At 63.3% G+C, this 17,525-nt stretch overlaps 1 protein-coding gene and 1 long non-coding RNA gene across 2 annotated transcripts in view, besides 6 other annotated features; one reads left to right on the forward strand and one right to left on the reverse strand.

Moving 5' to 3' along the window:
* Nucleotides 2,857-3,356: an enhancer, noted in NCBI's record as "H3K4me1 hESC enhancer chr14:104600835-104601334 (GRCh37/hg19 assembly coordinates)". NCBI's record gives its function as "activates a minimal SCP1, AML or CMV promoter by ChIP-STARR-seq in primed H9 embryonic stem cells {active_cell/tissue: H9 hESC(primed)}" and the evidence as "EXISTENCE:reporter gene assay evidence [ECO:0000049][PMID:30033119]".
* KIF26A-DT (KIF26A divergent transcript) lies at nt 3,142-6,988 on the reverse strand. The gene is made up of 3 exons (NR_158217.1): nt 5,889-6,988; nt 5,226-5,601; nt 3,142-3,531 (listed from the first exon to the last, which is right to left on the reverse strand). It is a non-coding gene; the product is annotated as a KIF26A divergent transcript (long non-coding RNA).
* Nucleotides 3,965-4,538: an enhancer, noted in NCBI's record as "H3K4me1 hESC enhancer chr14:104601943-104602516 (GRCh37/hg19 assembly coordinates)". NCBI's record gives its function as "activates a minimal SCP1, AML or CMV promoter by ChIP-STARR-seq in naive H9 embryonic stem cells {active_cell/tissue: H9 hESC(naive)}" and the evidence as "EXISTENCE:reporter gene assay evidence [ECO:0000049][PMID:30033119]".
* Nucleotides 4,825-5,536: an enhancer, noted in NCBI's record as "H3K27ac-H3K4me1 hESC enhancer chr14:104602803-104603514 (GRCh37/hg19 assembly coordinates)". NCBI's record gives its function as "activates a minimal SCP1, AML or CMV promoter by ChIP-STARR-seq in naive H9 embryonic stem cells {active_cell/tissue: H9 hESC(naive)}" and the evidence as "EXISTENCE:reporter gene assay evidence [ECO:0000049][PMID:30033119]".
* Nucleotides 5,537-6,248: an enhancer, noted in NCBI's record as "H3K27ac-H3K4me1 hESC enhancer chr14:104603515-104604226 (GRCh37/hg19 assembly coordinates)". NCBI's record gives its function as "activates a minimal SCP1, AML or CMV promoter by ChIP-STARR-seq in naive H9 embryonic stem cells {active_cell/tissue: H9 hESC(naive)}" and the evidence as "EXISTENCE:reporter gene assay evidence [ECO:0000049][PMID:30033119]".
* Nucleotides 5,945-6,114: a silencer, noted in NCBI's record as "silent region_6184". NCBI's record gives its function as "represses an Ori minimal core promoter by ATAC-STARR-seq in GM12878 lymphoblastoid cells {active_cell/tissue: GM12878}" and the evidence as "EXISTENCE:reporter gene assay evidence [ECO:0000049][PMID:35858748]".
* KIF26A (kinesin family member 26A) overlaps nt 6,946-17,525 on the forward strand; it is a 42,308-nt gene continuing 31,728 nt past the window's right edge. The window contains exons 1-2 of the mRNA NM_015656.2: nt 6,946-7,123; nt 7,402-7,647. Of these exons, the coding sequence (NP_056471.1) occupies nt 7,082-7,123; nt 7,402-7,647 (288 nt within the window). The 5' untranslated portion in view covers nt 6,946-7,081. The remainder of the gene's footprint in view (nt 7,124-7,401; nt 7,648-17,525) is intronic.
* Nucleotides 17,004-17,519: an enhancer, noted in NCBI's record as "H3K27ac-H3K4me1 hESC enhancer chr14:104614982-104615497 (GRCh37/hg19 assembly coordinates)". NCBI's record gives its function as "activates a minimal SCP1, AML or CMV promoter by ChIP-STARR-seq in primed H9 embryonic stem cells {active_cell/tissue: H9 hESC(primed)}" and the evidence as "EXISTENCE:reporter gene assay evidence [ECO:0000049][PMID:30033119]".

Genomic DNA, 17,525 nt, shown 5'->3' on the forward strand with positions numbered 1-17,525 from the left:
AGGTGGCCAGAGCAGAATATAGGGTGGGGGCATGGCAGGGCCGGGAAAGGCTGGGATAGGAAGGACAGGAGCCCCTCTGCAGGGGGAATGCAGCAGGACCTGGTGGCACAGAGAACAAGCCTGGGGTTCATGCATTCCTTTATTTCTTCCACAAATGTGAATGAGCTTCAGTGCTGTGCCAGGTGCTCAACCAAACATTTCCTGCCCTCATGGAGCTGATATTCTAAAGGGGATGAAGGACAATAAACTAGACAAGTAAGAAACATCTAAGTCAGCTCCTGGTAAGTGCTAAGGAGGGAGAGGAAACATGGGCAAAGCTGCAGGATGCAGGAAGGGCCTGACATTTTAGGTAAGGTGGGCAGGGAACACTTTGCTTAGAAAAGGCCTGGTGGCTCACGCCTATAACCCCAGCACTTTGGGAAGCTGAGGCAGGAGGATTGCTTGAGCCCAGGAGTTCGAGACCAGCCTGGGCAACATAGTGAAACCTGGTCTCTACAAAAAAATCAATAAGTTATCTCAGAGTGGAGGTGCGTGCCTGTGGTCCCAGCTACTCAGGAGGCTGAGGTGGGAGGATCGGTTGAGTCTGGGAGGTCGAGGCTGCAGTGAGCTGTGATTGCGCCACTGCACTCCAGCCTGGGCGAAAGAGCAAGACCCTATTTCAAAAAAGAAAAGACCTGGAGAAAGTCAGGCATGTGGATGTCTGGGGGAAGAGCCCCCTGGCAGTGGGAACAGTGGAGCAAACGCTCAAATGGGGGTGACTGCACGTTTGGGAACAGCGAGGAGGCCCTTGGGGCTGGAGCAGAATGCGTAGGGGGTGCAGAGCGGGAGGAGACGGGTCAGTCAGCCAGGGCCGAGAAGTGGAAGGAGCCCACCGCCTTCTTAAAGGCTCACCTGGCGGCTGTGGTGAAGCAGGCATGGCATTGCAGAACCCCCTCCAGGGGCTGACATTCCATTAGGGTGGTAGGGACAGGAGATCCTGATGGATGGGCTGCGGGGGCCGTGAGCAAGCAGGAGTCAAGGACGACTCCAGGATGACTGAATTGAAAGAGTGAATGAGCGAGGCCGGGCGTGGTGGCTCACGCCTGTAATCCCAGCACTTTGGGAGGCCAAGGCGGGCGGATCACGAGGTCAGGAGATTGAGACCATCCTGGCTGACACGGTGAAACTCCATGTCTACTAAAAATACAAAAAATTAGCCGGGCATGGTGGTGGGCGCCTGTAATCCCAGCTACTCAGGAGGCTGAGGCAGGAGAACGGCGTGAACCCAGGAGGCGGAGGTTGCAGTGAGCTGAGATTGTGCCACTGCACTCCAGCCTGGGAGACAGAGCAAGACTCCAAAAAAAAAAAAAAAAAAAGAAAGAGTGAATGAGCAAATGAGTGATGGAGAGCTTGACACCCCAGGACACTCCCCCATCCCCCTTCCCCTCGCCTGCAGAAGCCCCCTCCTGGTGCTGGCCAAGGTGCTGAAGCCGCGTCCTAGGCTGTCCCTCTGTGCTGGACCTGGGGCTCCTCTGGCACAGGGTGAGGTCTGTGGAGCCATCAGCTGTTGACCAGCGAGCATCCCCAGTCTCTCCCTACTCAGCAAACCCTTAGCCAGGATCCGTGGGATCCTGGCTGGGCTCCCAGACCTCAGTTCAGAGCTGACCACCCTTGTTCGTGCTCCATCCTGGCTCCGAGGCCAGGGCTGGGGTCCCTTGCTCTGCAGCTGGGCCCTGGGGGAAGAGGGAAGGAGGCTGTAAACACAGGGCTTAGGAGCACAGACTCCTGGGGCGAAACCTGGAGACTGACCTCCCCACTCTGGGCCTCATTTCCTCATCTGTAAAACGGCGATCATACAATACCCGTGCCTAGCACTGTTGGGCAGATTAAATGAGTGGATGTTACCAAGTGCGTAAGACAGAGCCTGGTCCGGAGAACAGGTGGGTGTCAGCTAAACCCCATGGCCGGCCACCCTCCCCCAAGCACTCAGACACCCTCTGAAGAACTGGTGCAGTGACCACCTGAAGCCTGCCCTTGGTGCTGAGGACGAGGGGCCTCGCTTTACTAGGAGGCCCTGCCCTGAGCCGGGGTCGGCCTCCCTTGTGGCTGCCTTCCTGAGGCACCCTCTCTCCTGCACCCCAGACATGGTCCTGGCCTCCAGGAGGGATAGGTGAGCAGGGAGCCCAGGGAGCTGGTCAATCCTGGGAACGTGTGGGGAGTGTCCCGAGGCCTCCTTGAGGAGAAGGGTTTTTTCCATCCCCCTCAACTCTTGGAGAGGATGAGGGTCTGTCTGATGCCAGGTGTGATCCTAGGGCCATGGGCCTTGTATAATTTTATTGTGGACAGTTTAGGCCCTGTAACCCTTCCTTATCTCTTTATTAAATGCTAAACAGGATGGTTAAAAACCCCACAAAAGTCAAAACCGTGCAGAGGGGTGTAAAATGGAAGTGAAACCTCTCCCGAACCCCACTCCTACTCTCTCTCCAGAGGCAACAATCGTTACCTGTTGCTTGTGTCTGTCCCAGGAAAGGTCCCCGCCTTCATAAGCATAAACCTTCTCTGCAAAGGCCAACGGGGCTGTGCCGCACACTGCGTGCCCGTCCCTGTCCCGGGTCCACCTGCCGTCCATCCACTGTCGCCAAGGATGAAGAGACGATTGGCCATTCCTACCCAGCCGGTTTCCACTACTAAAGACACCTCTGGCAAGTGTTCAGTTTCCGTGGGAGCGTGTCTGGGGTGCCTCCCAGCTCTTGCCCTGCACACTGAAGGGACGTGGATGGGGGTGGGGTGGGCTCTGGAGGGACTGGTCTGCCTCCGGGTACCGTCCACCTCGTCACACATGAAGACACGAAGGTGCGGAGAGGTGGGGGGCGGGGCTCTTGACCAGCACCAGCAGGCTGGGGAGAGATGGCGGTATGGAGGGCCCTGGGCTCCAAGCACCCAGGGAAGGAATCTGAGCACTCAAGCCCCATGTCCTCCTCCCTCCCTGAAACATTGCTGCGTGTGGTCTGAATGGAAGCCGAGTTCCGGCAATTAATCCCATCAGAGGGGCCCTGCTGAATGGTAGGAGGTTTTTTTCTGTTTTGCTCCCTTGGTCTAGATTTCCCTGGGGACAGCTCTGACCAGCCGCCGCGTGCCTGGTAAATTAAATGTTAAAAAAAATCCCCACAATGACTTTAATCAATCCACTGACATGGCGGGTGGCCTCCCAGAAGCCCTTGGTCCGCTGAAGGGAGCCCCCCCCTCCCCGCCCCAGGCTCAGGGTCTTGGATGAGACAGGATGGGGGAAGAGGACAGTCTTCCCCAGTCCCCTTCCTGTGGGGGAGGGAGGAGGGTGGGTGGTCCCCAGAGTGTCCTCCTGGAGAGGGACAGAGAGAAAGGGGGGACTCTGGCCCCCTTTATAACTTGCCCTGATCCCAGGCCAGGAGTGATGGTGGACGCAGGGAGGGGGCAGCTCTTCCCCGCCTCTCTCCTGACCAGAAGCCTGGGTGAGTACAGAGCAGGTGGTCACGATCGGCCATGTGGTCAGCAAATCCAGCGTTTATGGTGATTCTGTTGGAGACAAATGGCAGTGCTGGGCTCTGGGTTGGAGTCAGGTTGAGACAACGTCCTTCAGCCTCCACTGGGGGGAGTCAGGGGAAGGACCGGGGGAGCAGGACGGCCTTGCGGCGCCGCCGGAGCAGTGGGGTTGTGGGGCGTGGCCATGGTCCTTCCCAGGGGAGAGTAGAGGAGTGCAGGGGGCAGAGAGCACAGAAAGTCTAGCCCAGCCTTAGCACCCCAGCCAGGCCATAGGTGCGCGCTGGCGCCGCTGAAAACGTTCTCCTTCCCTCGCCTGTCCACCTTCCAGGTCCTGCTCAAGGCGCCTAATATCCCCTGGGCAGGGTCCCTGACACTTCCTTAACTCCCAAAGACCTTCCGCGTGGGCCTAGCGCATTTAGGCGAACCTCTCTGCCTGCTTGATCCTCTCCCTTCCTCCCTCAAGCCAGGCATCTCACCCACTTGCGCGCGAGGCTGGGGCAGCCCACAGGAGGAGCGCGGGACCCGGGCTTGAGTTTGCACCCAGGCAGAGCGCCCACCCCCGCCCCTAGCTTCGGACCCTGAAAGTAAAGTCGTCGTGCCCGGCAGCCAGCCCGAATCTTCCAGCCCTCAGGGAGTCGGGGTCGGGGCAGGGAAGGCCACGGGTGGCGGCACAATCGGGATCCTGGAGTGGAGGCGCAGACTGCGGGTCCCGCTGCGCACGCTCCGTGGTCCGGTTGGGGTGGGCCTTGGAGGTCCATAGGCCAAGGTTGAACGGGGGCTCTGGAGCGTGGGCGGGGTGGAGTGCACAGGTCACTGGGCTCTGAGCGTTTCCATGGGCCAGGACCCCAACGCGCCGTGTCCTCAGGACAGATTGGAGGGGGAAGGGGCTGCGATTATGCCCCAGTCGGAAGGGTTTTACAGCAGCCGCGCTGCCCTCTCCCTGCCGGATACCCGGCAGTAGACACCGACGTCTGGGGGCTAGCGAGGCAGGTGGGCGCGGACCGCGACCCGATTCTGGCTTCCAACCTCCGCCCAGTGGCGCGCGGGGCCGTCGCCCCACACCTCCAGTCCGCGTGGCTGGTGTCTGGCTCGCCGCCGGGGCGGAAGGGGCGCTGTCGGCGCAGGCGGGCGGGGCCGGAGCGCGGGGGCGCGCGGCGCGGAGCGAGCGCAGGGCTCGGGGGCGCGGGGCGCGGAGGACCGGGGGCTTGACGGGCGGCCCTGCGCGGTGCGGGGCGCGGCGGCGGCGGGCGCGCGGCCAGTGAACGCGCGGGCGGGGCGGCGGTGGCGGGAGGCACTAGGGGCCGCTCCCCGCGCTTCCCTCTTCCATGGCGCTGCCCCAGCCGCCCGAGCCGCCCCGCGGCGCGCCCCGCAAGGCTCCCAGCCTGCTGGAGATGGGGGCGCTCTGCCTGGACTCGGAGATCATCCTGGGCTTCACCAGCCACCTCCTGCGGCGACGAGGCAAGGTGAGGGCTGTCGGGAGGGGGGCGGGCGGCGTAGGCGCCGTCCCGTTACTTTGCCGCGCGGCTCGCGCGGCCGGGGGTGCTGCGCCGGGAAGGAGACGGCAGGTCCGGAGCCGCGTCCCGCAGCCCGGGCTGGGACTCGCTGCCGCACTTTCCCCCATTAGCGTTGTCCAAGTCTCCCTCTGCCTTCAAGGCTGTGTCCCAACCGGACCCACCCGGAGGCTGTGGCTAGGGCGGAGAGCGCAGCGCAGGGATTCTCGGGCTCACCTTGCGCCTTGCTAGGATGGGCGAAGTAGGGGGTCGGGGCCCCTGACTGATCGTGAGCCCCCGAGGTGACTCCAGCCTTGTGCACCCCGTGTTCTGCGGATATGGGATGTGAGCTTGTGCTTCCCGAAGCGCCGCGGCGGTAGAAGCGCTGAAGTTGCGGGTGTGGCTGGCCAGGGGCGCAGGACCGGTGCTCCCGACCGCTGCGTGCTTCTGTGTTGCGTGTGTGGGTGGGGGGACGGGATATAGAGAGTGTGTGTCCCGGAGCAGTGGAGCGGCGGGAGGCGGTGCTGTCTGCCGGCAGTGCGGGGTGGGGTTTGGGTGTTGTCCTCAGTACCCAGATCCAGATGTGGGCTGACGCCCGTTTTCATTCTCCAGGCTGCGAAGAGACGGGTAGGGGAAGCGCTTCCGGCCCCCCAGGCTGGGTGGAAAGCGACTGCAGGCTTACGGATCTCAGAAAGAGTGGAGAGCCCCTGCCACTTTATTCCATACCCCCTTGCGTTTTCGAACCCCTAAGGTCATCAACGACCCGGAAAGCCGGGAGGGGATCACCCACCCCACTTTCTGGGGAGTGCGTGCGTGGGCGGGGAGGCTTATCCAAGTAAAAGGGGGTGGGCAAAACGGAAAGGGTCACTTTGACGTACTGAGTCTCTGCGAAGGCCTCACCGTATGTGCCGGCAGCCGCGTGTCCTGGTCTCCGCCGGGTCACGACCTTCGGAGTTTCCGAGTGCGCCTCAGGCCTGGGACGCGCGGCGCTGTCTCCCCAGTCTCGGAGCCGTGTGCGCAGCGGCCGGCAGGGGGCACTCGCGTCACGGGGAGCCCGCCCGCCGCGCCCGCCTGGCTTGACCCGGGCTTTGGGGCTGACCCGGAGCCTGGCCCGGAGCTGCCTGCGGCCGCGGATGCCGGCGACATTTGGGGCCCGGCTAGGCACAGAGCAACTGGTCGCCAGGGAAGGGCGGGGGGGCGGCCTCCCAGCCGGAGACAAACAAGCAATTAATTCCGGAGCTGAGTTCCCATCTGCCAGGCCTGCTGACAACAGGTCCGGCGCACGCCCGCAGGACCTCCCGCTTCCCGGGCGGCACGGCGCGCACACCCACTTGCGGGCACACGCGCGGCTGTAAAGACACGTGCCGTTCGCAGACGCGCCGAGGCACAGATACGCCGGCGCGGTCGCTGCCCGGCTCGAGGCGCACACCGCGGCGACACTAACCCACGCGCGACAGTTAGACCTAAAGTGGCCCGCGACACGCAGAGTACGCTGGGCTTGCTGGAAAGGCGCCTGGGAGTCTCGGGGCCGGGGTCCCGCCCCTTCCTCGGCCCACCTCGCCGTGGGCCTTGGGCAAGAGCGTCCCCTCCGCAGCCTCAGTTTTCCCGCCTGTAGAGGGAGGGGCGTCGGCGCCTCCTGGGAGACGCGCAGCCCTGGTGTCCCGGGAGAGGGGCGGGAGGCGCATGCGCGCGCGCAACTAGATCCTCGCCGCCGCCCCCAGCGCCCCTCCCCGGGGCAGGGACTCACCTAACAGGTTGGGGTCCTTGGAGTGCGCGGGGCCGCGTGGGGAAGCGGGGACCCTACCCCCCCCACGCGCCGCCCAGCACTGGGCAAGGGCGGGGCACTCTCTGGGCTCCCGCCCCTCGCCGCCCGCCCCGGGAGCCCGAGCCCCGCCCTTCCCCGGCCCCGCCCTCGCCTCCCGAGCGCGCCCACCGGAGCCACCGCGCTCCTCGCGACACTCGCAGGCTCTGCGAACTTCCGAGCGGCTGGGCCGGGCCATGGGGGCGCCTCGGGGCCGGATCACGTAGCCGCGGCGCCCCCGGAGAGCCAGCGTGGCCGGGAGCGCCTGCCGGGCTCTTCCCGCGCCCCGGCCATGGTCGGCCGCGGCGTCCCTCTGTGCGCTGCGCAGCCCGCGGTACGCGCGGCCCGGCCTGGAGAGGGAGGCGGGCGGCGGGGGCCCGGGACGGCGAAGATACTCGCGGTGTGCGCTGGATCCCTGGGGGCCGGGCCTCCTGCTGAGGGTAGCGGACCCGCAGGCGGGACCTCCGGGGATGGAGGGAGTGGGTGAGCGCCAGGGTCGTGCCCAGGGCTCCTAACTTTGGCAAGAGCGTCACGCTGGGGCAGGGCGCGCAGGGGTCTGGATCCGACGGACGTCCCAGGCTCACTGTCCGCTTCCGCCCCCACACCCTGCAGGTGGCCGAGGGCGGCCCGGCCCGCGAGCCGCCGCCGCTGCTGGAGGTGTCCCCCCGAAAGAGGCTACCCGCCGGGCCCGACCAGGACCCATGCGGCAGCCGCCCTGCTCCCGAAGGCGCCGGGGCCGGCCCAGAGCAGGGCCACTCGGCCGGCGGAGGCGGCTGGTGCCGCCACTGCCACACGAAGCTGGTGGAGCTCAAGCGACAGGCGTGGAAGCTGGTCAGCGGGCCCGGGACCACCCTCCGGGTAAGTGACACTTCCTTAGGCCGACCCCTCCGAGCAGGGCCACGCCGAACTTGGGTAGAACTTGGGGCTTGGAGGGAAGCAGGGTTCCACTCCTTCCCTGCTGCTGTTTCCACAAAGAGTTATCAGCCAGGACTTCCCTTCTGCGGGCCTCAGTTTCCCGGTCTGTAACACCATGTGTGAGCTAGGGAGCTCAGCCCGAGGGGCCCTGCTGCCTCGGATGGGAGGGGCCTGGGCTGGCGTTCCTCCCCCAGCCCAGATGTCCCACAGCTGGAACGCAGGTTTGTGTGGGAGGAGGAGGGGAGAGAGCGGATGGCAGGGACTCCACCCAGGGCGGGACAGCTCCAGCCCTACCAGCAGGGAGAGGTTATTTGGTGCATTGTGGCCCTTGGGGCACCTGGGCCCCCAGCCAGGTGTCTGGAAATTACATACCTGGGGCCGGGGGGCCTGGCAGGTGAAAGGGTGGGCCACAGCAGCTGGGGGGTCCCTGCCTACTCCTCTCCCAGCCTCAAGGATAAGAACTGTTGTCCCATACCTCCTGGGATAGACTGAGGCAGTGGCCGCCCATGGGGAATTGAGTCGGGGCCCTCTGGGTTCCCCAGGCTCCAGCCCCAGGGGCAGGTGCTTGCAGGGGAGGGGTTCTCCTGGATTTCCAGCCAGTGGGCCTGCCGGCTTTGGAGGGAGCAGGGACCATTGTTCCAGGAACAATGCATGCTGGAAGTTTGCAAAGGCTGGGGGCGGGTGGGGGTCTCCAGAGGAAGCCCGCTGCCGGGCCTTCAGCCTTTATGAAAGAGTTCCTGGGAAGTCCGCATAATCCCCATTGAATCTAAATATAGTTCTCTAAGGGCTGTGGGGGTTGGAGTGAGCTGAGACCCTGACTGCCCTGTCTGGGGCAGGGCAGGGTGGGGCAGGGTACCAGTCTGGTTTCTGTCCTGGGCACCGTCTCCGGGCTCTCTGGAGTCTCGGCGAGGGATAGGATTGCTGTAGCCTCTCTCTGGCTCAGGCCAGGCGCCTGTGGGCCTGTCCTGGGGTGGGGCTGGACCCGCCCTGTCCTCTGCTCTGGACAGGCTGCAGCCTTGGCCATACTCTGTGCCCCAGTGGCCTGTATCTAGTTTAAAAGGTAGCAGGAGACCCTTGAGGGCCCCCTGGAGAGGGCCAGCCAGAGCTAAAGGCCCATCTTGCTGCCCCATTAGGGGAAACACGCCAGAGACAGGAGGGGCATTAAGATTGAGCTGGTCTCCTCATTCTTGGAGTGGGCTTGGACTGCTGATGCTGCCTGGCCCTGGGGCCATGGTCCTGGCATGGACTCGTGGAGGGGAGGGGGCTCCTGGTCACGGGCAGGCCAGGGGTCCTAGTGGAGAGGGCTGCAGGTGATACTAGTCCCTGGTGGATTCTAGGTTCCTCATCTAGGGGGGTGTCTTGGTCTCTTCTGGCAGACAGGTCTTCAGGGGAGCCCCAGACCACCCATCTCCAGCCTCCCCTGAGCTTGGCCTTTGACACTGGAAACTCCTCTTGAGTGCCAGCTGGGGGCTCCCCCTTCCCTAGCTGGCGCTGGCACTCAGCACACCGGGGTCCCGGGCTGGTCTCAGCCAGGGCTTTGTTCTGCTCTGGGCCCCCTTCTTCTGCTTTGTGGTCTCCTCTGTCACCTGGGGCCTGTTGTGAAGTGCTGTCCCACCTGCAGGGTGCTGTGCCCCCGGGAGAGAAGACCCCATCCTCCACTGTCTCTCCACAGGGCATGGGGGGCTGCACCTGCCATCCTGGGGCCTTACGGGTGTCATTGTCCTGTCCCCTGTGCGGGCCTGGGCTGTCCCCAGAGTCCCAGCAAAATTGCAGCCTGCAGCCCTGGCCTGGCCCGCTGGGCCCAGATGTGTGGACATGGCTGCTTCTGTGTTTGGGTTGGGAGGGAAATCTCTGGGGTGGCCAGGGAGACCCCAGTGTGCTCCCCGGAGTCTGGTGCACTGTCCAGTGGGCCCTGGCCTCTGCTCTGTAAGGCCAACGTGGCAAGGGGTATTTAGGGTTGGTGTTCTAGGATTTCCCCAGGGGCCCGTTTCGTATTTTTTAGGGGAGAGATGAGCTTCCTTGAGGATAGCTGTTTACAGGGAACTTCACAATCATCCATCTGTCTCATGCTTGGATCTTCAGAAGCCCAGAGAAGTGGAGAGACTTGCTGGGACCCGGCCTGGCTATTAGAGGCCCTCGCCTCCGGGCTTCCTGCCTGTCTCCGTTGTAGAGGGAGGCGTAGAGGGTCGGGGCCCAGCCTGCCAGGGTCTCCCTGCCTGTCTCCGTTGTAGAGGGAGGCGTAGAGGGTCGGGGCCCAGCCTGCCAGGGTCTCCCTGCCTGTCTCCGTTGTAGAGGGAGGCGTAGAGGGTCGGGGCCCAGCCTGCCGGGGTCTCCCTGCCTGTCTCCGTTGTAGAGGGAGGCGTAGAGGGTCGGGCCCAGCCTGCCAGGGTCTCCTTGAATGTGTTGCTCTTTAGCAACACCCGATGCCTGCATGGTCCTGCCTATGCTCATCCCCTGCTGGGCCCTTGCCCACCCTCCTGCCAGGAGGCAGCTCCCCTGAGCAGGTTCCCGAGAGTTCTTGGCCACTGTTTCCTGCTCTGCGACATGGGACCGTCTTTGTGCCCATTGCATAGGTACGTAGAGCAGTGCCCGGAAGGGATGCACTCTCACCTTGGCAGCTGCTGCTGCTGTTTGCTGAGTTAGGGACTCCGAGTCCCTGGGGCTGTTGGAGCCCAGGTTCCCGGCCTACCTCTCCCTTGCTGTGTGCTCTTGTCTGCCTGAGCCTGTCTCAGTTCCCTTGTCTGGGCAGTGAGGGTGACCATGGTCCCCTATCTGGGGACCTCATCCCTGTGGCATGGATAAGACTGTGCCCTCCCCACCTTTCTGAGCTCTGGTGCCCCGTCTGGGGCCGTAGGGGAGGGGGACATTGTCTTCCTGCCCCTGTTGGAGCCCCAGGGGATTGTCTTTCCTGATCTGAGAAGGGTGCTTGGCCCTGGGTGTGGAGGGGAAGCCCCATGATGGGACTCTGGCCGTGGCTCCTGCTCCTCACTGTGTCCCCACACTGTGCCCTCTGCTCTCACCAGGGTCCTCAGGCCTTGTCTCCGGGCTGACTACTTCAGGACCCCCATGGCCTGGAGCGGCCCCCTGTGGCCTGGCCTCCTGTGGCCTCCAGGGACCTTTCTCTAATGGGCTGCTCTGTCTGCCCTGCCATAGATGCTGTCCTCATCCCAAGACCCCCTGGCCTCCCTGGGCTGGAGGCCCCTCAGTGTCCCTGCTCTGGCCTCAGGGGCCCCTTCTCAGGTGCCCCCAACTCTGAGATGTCCCTGTGGGAGGTTGCAGCCTGGTGCCTCCCATTCAGCAGGCAAAGCTGGGGCCTCCCTCTTTCTCCACATCTAAGGCCCCCCTCGCTTCCCCATGCTCACCCACCACCGCAAACTGTTGTGGCAGACCTCTTCCCTCTCCCTGACCCCAGTCCTGGTTTCCCCCACAAGCAGGAGCTCTGCCAGGTCAGGCATGGGGTCCGGGTCACCTGGAGGTGTTTGTTGAATGACTGAATGACCAGGCTTTTCCTCCCACACCCCACTTGCTGGTGGTCACCCCCGGGACTGCTGGGGCTGGATTCCGGCTATCCGCCCCTCAAAATGACAGTTCCCATGGAGGATGACCATCCCCCTCCCCCACAAAGGATGGTTCCCTGCTTCAAGGAGAGGGTCCCTGCTTGGGGATCCATTCCAGCTGCTGACAGACACGTCATGTGAGGTGTTGACTCCTCCTGAGACCCCGTGACATTTGAAGCGTCAGTACCGGTGCTGAATTGATTATCGCCCCCGATGGGGAAAATGATCAATTCTCATTTAGCTCCCGTGCATCTCTTGCTTATCCAGGCAGGGGCCTCATCCTTATGCCCCCAAGAGCTCCAGAACCACTGTTGGTGCCGCCTGCTGGTGCCACGCAGCTGAACAGTGAGGGAAGCTGCCCATCGAGGCTGTGGCTCTGGACTCTCCTCCCGGCGAAGCTCCGGGTGGCCCCTGTGTACAGGGAATCAGTTGTCATGGTCTGAGGCTGGGAGCCCTCCTACCGCTCTGTGTGGCTTGGCGAGTCCTGTTTCTCCTTGGACGCTGCTCATGGGCTTCTGTTTGCTTCTCCTGTTGCCTCTCTGGTTTGACTGGAGGTGACTCCTGCCAGCTTTTCGTTCCTCCTGCCAGCTTTTCGTTCCTCCTCTGTCACTTGTCCGAGGAAGCCCTCTTAGCCCCCTGGATGGATGGGGGCATCTCTGTCTCCACAGCCCCCAGGCCTGTGATTTGGGGGTCCCAGGTCTGTTGCCCCCAAATAGGCAATGGTCCTGGGAGGGTAGGAGCTGCGCCCGAGTGGTCCCATGACGGATGCTCGCCACTTGTGGTCAGAGCCCCTGGGCCCCCAGACTTGGGGCTGCCACCTTCCCTCGCTGCTTGGAGCCTGGCCCGGCTTCCACTGCTGCCAGGGCCACCTTTGTGCCTGGCAGTGGCACCCGCCTCGGGGATCCGCAGGGTGGGGTGCCTGGCATCAGCAGCATTCCCAGCTGAGCCCAGGTGTCACAGGCTTTGGTGGCAGCCTGGGGAGGTGTGAGGGGGCACGGCTCCCTGGCTGGCAGGCGGGGCACTGGCTAACTCTACCAGGAAGGGCTCTGCTCGGGAGGCCGTGGAGCTCGGAGCTCCCAGTTACTGTTGGGGAGGGAGCCTGGGGAAGGGCCGGGAGGGAGGAAGCCTGGGTGGGCCCAGCCTCGCTGTGCAGCCTCTGTGGGACCTGGGCTTTCTCTTCCCTGGACAGGCGGTGCTGCCTCCGGGATTCCCTGTGGTTCAGCATGTGATGGGTGGAGGGCACGTCCTTGTGCTCGTCTTGTCTCTCTTGCTTCTTTGGGGTCCCAGGGGTTGAGGATGGGCATTTGGGGGAGGACTTGAGCTTGAGGGATGTGAACCATTGTCCTCTGAACACCAGCCAGAAGCAGAGATGGAGCCCTAGCGGCTTCCGGGGTACAAGCTTTATGTCGGGGCAGGGACGTGCTCTGGGGGAGTCTGGCCGTGGTCACATGTGGGCTGGGTGGGGATGGGATTGTGGCCGCTGGCCTCACTGCCTCTCTGCTGCCAGGTAGAGGACAGGGAAGGAGGGGGACTGCAGGCTACCCCCAAACCTTCAGCTGCTCAGAGTCCTGCTGGAGGGGCTTGTGAGGGTTTGGAGTGGGCTAAGGGAATGGGACTGGGGCCTTCCCAAAGCTCCCTTAAGTACCCTGGAAGGATCTCTTATTTGGGAATCAGAAGAGCTGGTTTTTCCCTTAAGTAACAAAGAAAGTCTAGTTCTTCTCTTCCTTTGCCTGCTAGGAAGCTCACAGCAAATGTGCTGCTCAGCTCTGGGCCGCGTGGGACTTTTCTTCTGCTCTAATGGGAACGGGTCATTCTTTTTGTTCCAGTTATGACTGACTGTAGTTGCATGGTTTTGTTTTTAGCTTATATTTTGTAGTTCCTGCGAGCCACCGCACAATCTTTGTGCAAGACAGTGTGGGCTATGAGTAAATAAGTAAGAGTAAAAGTGGACTGACCGTGCCTTGGTCGTGTCTGCTTCAGCCTGTTCATCTGGTCCATGGAAGCGGAGCTTGTGCTGTTGGGGGGAGTGGCTGTCAGCTGGGCTTTCCCTGGTTCCTGGTGGCAGCCAGGCTGGGTGGTCTGGCCTCTGGAAGTCCTGGCCCAGGAATGGGCAGCCCTCGTCAGCCTCTGAGCTCTGCACCCACGCTGCTCCCTTCCTGCTGGGGTGAACACTGTGCTTGGTGAGACTTTCTCAGGGCAGGCTCTGGAGGCTGCCACCCCCACCACGGTGTGTCCTTGTCCTGCGGGGCCTCAGTTTCCCGCCTGTGAACAGTCCTTGGGCTGCGTCGTCACTGTTGCTTCTTCCGGCGCTCAGGGTCACTTTTCCTTCCAGTGTCACAGTGTCTCCGTTTCGTTCACGGGCGTGCCCTGGCCATAGCTGCCTCTCCAGGATGGAGTCTTCTAGGCAGGACCCGTGGGCTGGGGTGGCCCGAGGCCCTCCGCAGGGCTGCACTGTGCTCCGTGGAGACTCCCCAGCCCACCTGTCCCCGACCCCAGCAGCATCCCAGGCCTCAGCTGTAGGGCTGGGGATGGGTGGGTGGCCCAGCCCGGTGCCCGGGGCTGATGGCAATGTGTAGTCCCGCCTGGCCCGGCGCCAGGTCACTCAGCTCAGCGCGCTGCATTGGACCTGGGATGGTCGTGCTTGCGTCCCTCCTGCGCTGGCCTCTGACCCCATGTGATGGGTGTTGCCTGAGCTTTGGCCTCTGTTTCTGGCGGAGGTGCCGCATGCTGGCCCTTGCCTGGTGCCCTCAGGGAGCTCTTCCTAAATGTCCTGTCCCCATCTTCCCTCCCCAGCTCATAGCTTCGGTTCACGGCTGTAGCCCGGCTCTGCCCTCAAAACCCTCACCCCTGCCGCCAACGTGGCCTCCACAAAGCCCTCGTCCTCCAGCCGCTTGACCTAGCCTGTGGGGGCTGCCCTGAGCAAGGCTGAAAGGCCCCTCCTGCTCTCGTCCCTAGGGCCCCCTCTCCCCGACCCCCGCAAATTTGCCTTCACCAGGAAGAAGTGTCAGGCGACCTGGCTCCAAGCTTTATCTTCCACGCCTGGCTCTCCATCTTTTTCTCCTGAGGGTGGGACTGGGGCCACCCCATCAGCCCAGAGGCTCCCCAAGATGGGGCCAGCAGGGCAGTGGCAAGGGTGCGTCTCTGGGCCCTGGAGTCACCCAGGTCTGAGTTGGAACCCCAGCTCTGCGACCCTGGTGGTGTGGCCTGAGGCAGGTGTCTCAGTCTCTCTGAGCCTCAGTCTATAAAGGGGTCACAGACTCCTGGTAGCCAGTGAACAGGGTGGTTGTTTTTGGGGGTGGGTGGCCCCTAGGGCTGTGCAGGGAGGCCTGGGGTACCTGGCAGGGGAGTGTCTGGGTGTTGGGATGGTGCCAGGGGCCCAGCTTGCCTGCTGGGTGATTGGGAGAAGGCTCGTCCTGGTCCTGCCCAACTTCCTGGCTGCATTTGGTGTTGTGGGAGGGGCTGTAGCTTGTGGGGCATGGGGTCCCTGCCCTCTATAGATGCCCTAGAGGCCTGTGGGGAGAGGGTCCTGAGGGCGGAGGCCAGGAGGTCTGAACTCATCCCTGTGCCTACCGAGTGGTGGGAAGAGCATGGAGGGCTTGGGCCTGAGGAGCCGGGCAGCGGGTATGCAGAGGGTGGCGACCACCGCAGATCCTCTGTGCCTGCTGCTGCCCCACGTGGTGGGGAAGAAGTGGGGGCAGCCACAGAGCCAGGCTGTCCCTGGCTTCTCCTTCTCCACTGTGTTTCCATAAGCAAACTGCTGTGACCATGGGGAGGGCCCTGGGAAGGTGCAGTCCCGGCATCCGGACGGCTCCTGGGGCGGCAGTGTTTGATCTCAGAGTTAAACCAAGGAGACGGGGTGAGGGTCTCCAAGGGGTGGGCATGTGAAAAGCCCCGAGATGGGCCTGGCTGGAGCTCACGTGGAGACCGCCACGGGGCAGGCCAGGTGACAGGAGGCGGGCGCTCTGGGGGCTGTGTTTGGAGTGGAGCTGTGCTCCAGCCCTGGGATCCTGGGCACTCTTGGCAGCCTCGTAGGAGGGGCTGGTGGTGTGGACAGTCCTGTGGCCCCTCACATGCAGAGGTTTCCGGGTTTCTGCCCAGGGATGCCTGGGGCCGCTGGGAGGCAGGGGCCTGATTTGAAACCGAGTCCACGGGGCCCCTTGGTTCACCCGGTGACTGCAGCCTACATGGAGTTGGATTGAGTGTGCAGGTGACCCCCAGGCCCCTGCAGTGCACTGAGCATGCCTCTGAGCATTGGGGCTCCTGATGAGCCTGCCCCTCTGCCACCCCACCTCGCCGGGGCCATCCTTGCCTGTCTGGCCTTTAACCACCCATAACCCCAGATCCCAGTCATGGCATGCGATGGAGGACAGGGGAGGCCATTGAGGGGATGAGGGTCTCAATGAGCTTGTCTGTGCCCCGAGCTGCCCAGCTGGACTGGCGCCTGGCACAGGCCCTTGGGGATGGCGTGCCGGCCAGTGCTGGGTGGACTGGGTTGTGTCCCCGCTCCCTCCCCTCCCAGCAGAGGAGGAAGGGGGTAGGAGGCCTTCAGAGCTGCAGACCCACAGGATGGGAATGGTCCCTGGAGTCCTGGCTGGCAGACCAGGGAGGGTCTGGGCCTTTGGAGAGGTGCCCAGCTGGGCAGGAGGGGCACCGGGGCAGCCAGGTGTGGCCAGCCAGTTTCCAGACTGGAGCACCGAGCCCGCTCCTTGCCCCCCGCCCTGATGGGCTGCACCAGACGTGGAAATGTCCTGGACAGCAGGACCTGCGAGGGCTGCTGCCTGGCCGGGGGTCCCTTCCTGGACCTGTTGTCAGCTCCGGAAACAGCGGCTGCTCGGGGTTGCAGCCCAGCACGCTTTGTTTGGGAAGGAAAGGGAGGGCAAGATCTGGAGGTCATGGCCCATGGGGTCCTTTTGAGGGCTGCCCGCACACGCATGCCTCACTGCGTGGGTCGGGGAGGGGCTTCGGGGCCTAGTTACCCTCCCAGCGGCCCTGCCAGTGGGTGCCAGAGCTCCTTTGTGGAGACGGGTGATGGGGACTCAGGGAGGGCCCCGTATGGCTGAGGTCTGGGGGTCTGATGGCGTGGCGTCTCTGAACTGGGAGCAGGACTCCCCTCGCTGTCCCAGGGTGGCCTTACCTGGCGGGGAGGTTTGATCAGCTGTTCTTTCCCATGGGCAGTGGCTTGGCTGGAGTGGGGAGACTTCTCTCCTGCAGTGACGGGGAGCGGGGAGTCCCCGGTAAAGTCCCCCGGGCCTCACACGCAGGAGAAAATGGAAGGATTACTTAAAGCAACTCGGAGACCCCAGAAACAAAATAAAGAACAAAGTCATGATTTGTAAGTAGGGGGGAGACTCCCTAAAACCCAGGCGCGCAATGGGTGGGCTATGTTTGATGCTAAATTGAATCAAATGAAGAAAAACATTTTCCAAATGCAAGTAAAGTATCTGTGTAATTAGACCATAAAGAGAAAATTAAAAGTCATATTTCGCAGTGGAGTAATTACTGTCTTCCTCAAGACACCAGGCTGTGGAGGCCTGGGTGACAGGCGGGCCTGCTGGCTGGGGCTTTGAGGAGTTCAGATTCCTGAAATTGGGGGGCAGTAACCCGTTGGGGGCTTGGGCCAGAGGACCCCGTGAGCTGCCGGGATGGCTGGGAGAGGAGGCCTGGTCCCACTGCCCAGCCTGTGCAGAGGTTGGAAGGTGCAGGAAGTGGCCACAGAGCAGGATTTGTTGTTGTTGGCGGTGGGGGCTGTGCGTGGCCGGGGAGGGGGAGGGGGAGGGGAGGGGCAGGGCTGCAGGGCTGGGCGGCTTTTGTCTCTCTGAGGGCTGCGTCTGGGGTCTGCTGTGCGGGGAGCAGTCAGTGGTGTGGGAGACCCTCGCCTTCACCTTCTGGGGCCCAAGATGCCCATCCCTGGGAGCCACCCATGTCAGCAGCGGCCTCCCTGAGCCCCTCCCTGGAGCCCTGAGTGCTGGTCCCGTGTGCTGAGTGGGGTGCCGAGTTCTCCTCTTGTCTTAGCTGGACAGTGTGCTGGGCCCCAGGCTGGTCCTGCAAATAGGAGGTCTCGGGTCCTCTGGGCTGGGCTGTGTGGCTCTGAGTGGCCCCGGCAAGCAGCCCTGTGGTTCTGTTCTACCCGAGCAGTCTGTGCCCTGGCCCCTATGCTGTGCCAGCCTGGTGCAGCCTGGCTGGTGTGATGGCTCAGTGGTGGGGGCGATGGCGCCTGGTCCCATCCAGTGTCTTGCTGTGTTGCCCTAGGCCGGTCTCGCATAA

This window comes from Homo sapiens, chromosome 14 (genome assembly GCF_000001405.40).
Source record: "Homo sapiens chromosome 14, GRCh38.p14 Primary Assembly".
Lineage (NCBI taxonomy): Eukaryota > Metazoa > Chordata > Mammalia > Primates > Hominidae > Homo > Homo sapiens.